This window comes from Homo sapiens, chromosome 2 (genome assembly GCF_000001405.40).
Source record: "Homo sapiens chromosome 2, GRCh38.p14 Primary Assembly".
NCBI classification, from domain to species: Eukaryota; Metazoa; Chordata; class Mammalia; order Primates; family Hominidae; genus Homo; species Homo sapiens.
In genome coordinates this window covers 58,250,938-58,254,659 of record NC_000002.12, presented here as the reverse complement: position 1 = coordinate 58,254,659, position 3,722 = coordinate 58,250,938, and the positions used below count along the sequence as shown (strand labels likewise).

Below are 3,722 nucleotides of genomic sequence, written 5' to 3'. Positions count from 1 at the left end.
ACAACCTTCTCAGCAGGTGAGGCAATGTCAATCAGTCCTGAGGAGAATGTGGGCAGCACAGCACCTCATCCTTAAAAATGATAAAGTAGAAGTTTGCCAGTCATGAGGTAAATTCTACCAAAAAATTTCCCATTTGGATAAGTCAGGCCAATTGGTGCTGTTTTTGTCTCAATTACCTAATTCAGAAAAAACCCACCTTCTTCCTATGTAAATCAATGACTAAGATCATTTTAACTGTGTCCATTTTTGGTAATGTTTTAAATAGAAAAGACTGGCCCGGCGTGGTGGCTCATGCCTATAATCCCAGCACTCTGGGAGGCTGAGTTGGGAGGATTGCTTGAGCCGAGGAGTTGGAGACCAGCCTGGGCACCATAGGGAGACCCTGTCTCTACAAATAATAAAAAAAATTAGTTGGGCGTGGTGGCCCACGCCTGTGATCCCAGCTACTCAGGAGGCTGAGGAAGGAGGATTGCCTGAGCCTGGGAGATTGAGGCTGCAGTGAGCCTGACTGTGCCACCGCACTCCAGCCTAGCCAAAAGAGCAAGACCCCGTCTCAGAAAAAAAAAAAAAAGACATGATTATTGAAAAGATAAGTAGTCAAAATATTTAAATGTAGTCATTAGATCATTTTAGTTGCTAAAAAAAGAATTTCTTTTCATGAAATAAGTTCATTAGGAAGATTTGGTACAGAGAAATTATTGATTGCATCAGATATACATTTCTATTTTACCGGCATTAAGTTACTTTGATGTTGAAGTTTTGTATACATCTGGAAAACAGTCTACTTTAAGATAATTAGAATAGCAAAATAATGTGGGTTTTAAAATACTTTGGTAATAAACAAATCTGAGGCACATAGAAAATTGATTATATCATAAGATAAATTAATTTACTTTTAACACAAAAGCCTTTTTCCTTTTTCTTAAACAATAAAAGTATGCTAACATATTGGTCCATTGGAATCATCCACTTGGACTGCTGTTGCAAAGATTTTAAAAGTCAGTTTAAAATGCATTTTTTCCCCAAAAGCTTAAAAGCTTTAATTCTTGATAAGTTTTTTCTCATTTTAATGACTTTTTTCTACCTTCTGGGGTTTTTATTTTTTATTTCATTTTATTTTTATTTCTTTGAGACAGGGTCTTGTTCTGTTACCCAGGCTGGAGTGCAGTGGCATAATCTTAGCTCACTGCAATCTCTGCCTCCTAGGCTCAAGCAATCCTCTCACCTTAGCCCCCAGAGTAGCTGGGACCACAAGCATGCACCATCACACCCAGCTAATTTTTTGTATTTTTTATAGAGACAAATGTTGCCACGTTGCCAGGCTGACCTCGAAATCCTGGGCTCAAGTAATCCAACGGCCTCGGCCTCCCAACATGCTGAGATTACAGGCATGAGCCGCCATGCCCAGCCCTTTCTGAGATTTTTAGATGTTCAGAATTATTGACCTTAGAAATAAGGAATAAAAAAGGCAAGAGCAAACTTAGGTGTAATAAAATATTCCAGAAATTCAGCATGAATTTGTTACCAGTCTGTAGTAATTAGTGTTCCTAAAGGTATTCGGTTTCATTACTCCACAGTAACAAGAGGCTAATGAAGTGTTTTCAAATGGAAGTTCAACAGAAAAAAACTTTGATAAATAGACAATATTATTTATAATTGTTTATCTCAGGGTAGTTGTTTTAGACTCATTGAATGTGTCTGAGTGTGCATCCTTAATCTGCACTATATCATTCAGGTTTTATCATAGAAACTAATGGAAGAATAATTACGGTGCATCAGAGCAGTGGTCTTTAAATGTTTTCAGTTACATGAATATTCTCTAAATTAATATTTTTGATTGCATATATTTCTGTTGACATCTAAAATTTTTCATTGTAAGTTTAGTTCCAAAGGATATGCTTTAGGCATATTGTAAATGTTTGGCTTTTTACATAAAATTGTTTACAATAAAGCTTTTTACAATAAGCTTTACTTTTTTTTTTTTTTTAATTTACAAAAGGTAGGCTCCGTTTATTAGAGTCACACACAACTGACTATCTCAGTGTGACTCAAGACCACAAAAAACCCATTTCTCCTTCACTTCTGAGTCCTGGGGTTAATACCTAGACCAGCAAGTGTACTGCTTGGGGTCCATTCACAGGTTTACAAGTTTTTCATTGAGGGCAATCTGTGACTGTGTGAGGTTGGCCAGGTAGGTCACCATCAAAAGGTCATTGATGTTGCTGTTGAGCATGGTCTCAAAGTCATCGGGAACTATTTTCGGTACTCGGTTAACCAGGCTCATCAGGAAGCGGCCCACAGTATTGTCAGCTGACACCTTTCCAGACAGTACATCCTCTGCATATTGCAACACTGTACTCAGGGCATCCTGGATGCGAGCTGATGCCCCTCCTACTTGCTGCAAGTCACTTAAGAGTCCAATCACTCTGTTGGGGCTAAAGCAGGTCTTCATGATCAGCTCAACTCCGATGCGTTCAGTGTCATAGTATGCGTATTTCACTGTCAGAGGTGTGAACATCACTCCCATGGTCCTCCCAGGGACACCCATTAAAGTGCTGACATAGGCTTTGATGCTCATGCGGCCGTTCTGGAGACTTGTGTCCACAGTGAGGTGGATGGGGTTGGGGGCCTCTCGGCTGTAGTACTCATGGATCAGCACAGAGTGCTCTGTGATGTCATGGCCTGTAGCGTACCAGCCCAGGATGAGCTCATTTGGAGAAACTTTTTTATGCAGTTCATACATATTCTTAGCAAATTCCATGTCAACAGCCACTTCATCTTCTGACTCATTGTGCGGCACTGAAAAGCAATTGGTGACCTCCACTGAGTGTTTGTCGACAGTTCCCAACAGGGTCCCGATAACTCGGGCAGCACCCTCGTTGCGTCTCTCGTAGCTGTCCACAATGGAGGCCAAAATGACTGGGTGCAGCCTGACCACGCGGCCGCCGGGGAAGGGCCCTGGAAGAGCAGGACCAGGCAGAGCGGGCGCTGGGGTCTGCGCTGGAGCTTGCGCTGAGGCCGGGGTCTGGCCAGGAGCCGCAGTTGTAGCCGATGCTGCCGCAGGGTCTGAGGATGAGGCTGGAGCCGCAGCGGGAACCGGAGCCGCAGCCGGTGCTGGCGTTGGCGCTGGAACTGAGGCTGGGGCAGAGGCTGGGACCGCCGCCGGGACTGGGGCTGGCGTGGCCGGAGGAGCACTTGCTGGTACCGCCGGTGTGGCCATCTTGTCGAGAATAAGCTTTACTTTCAAACGTTCAAATGGAATCTAAATATGATACTCACCATTTTACTTAGAATAATGCATGCTGTATACGAGTGTAACAAATGAACCTCACAATTGCAGTGCCTTAATACCAAAAAGTTTATTCCTAGTTCGTATCAAGCCGATTGGAAGACATTTGAGACACAACTTTTACTTTGTAGGTTTATCATTCCGAGGGCCCCAGAATCCGTTATTCAAACTAGCGGATAGGAGAAGAGAATGTTGAATCAAGCATAGTAGGTTTTTAATGGACCACCCACATTCCATTGGCTGCCACTCAATCACTTGTACATCAATCTGAAAGAAAGGTGGGAAAATGTAGCTTAGCTATGGGCCCAAGAGGAAAAGGAAATGAGCTTGATTAGCACTTAACAGACTCTACTGTAGTTTACCCTTCTGATAGCTGAATAGCCTTCTTCTTCCCTCACATAAAGTTTACTCATCCCCTTCCCAAAGTGGACAA

The 3,722-nt window shown here is 42.6% G+C and overlaps 1 pseudogene, besides 1 other annotated feature; it reads right to left on the bottom strand.

Annotated features, from left to right (window-relative positions):
* Positions 1,986-3,231, bottom strand: EIF3FP3 (eukaryotic translation initiation factor 3 subunit F pseudogene 3; annotated as a pseudogene).
* Positions 2,504-3,044: an enhancer, noted in NCBI's record as "H3K27ac-H3K4me1 hESC enhancer chr2:58478751-58479291 (GRCh37/hg19 assembly coordinates)". NCBI's record gives its function as "activates a minimal SCP1, AML or CMV promoter by ChIP-STARR-seq in naive H9 embryonic stem cells {active_cell/tissue: H9 hESC(naive)}" and the evidence as "EXISTENCE:reporter gene assay evidence [ECO:0000049][PMID:30033119]".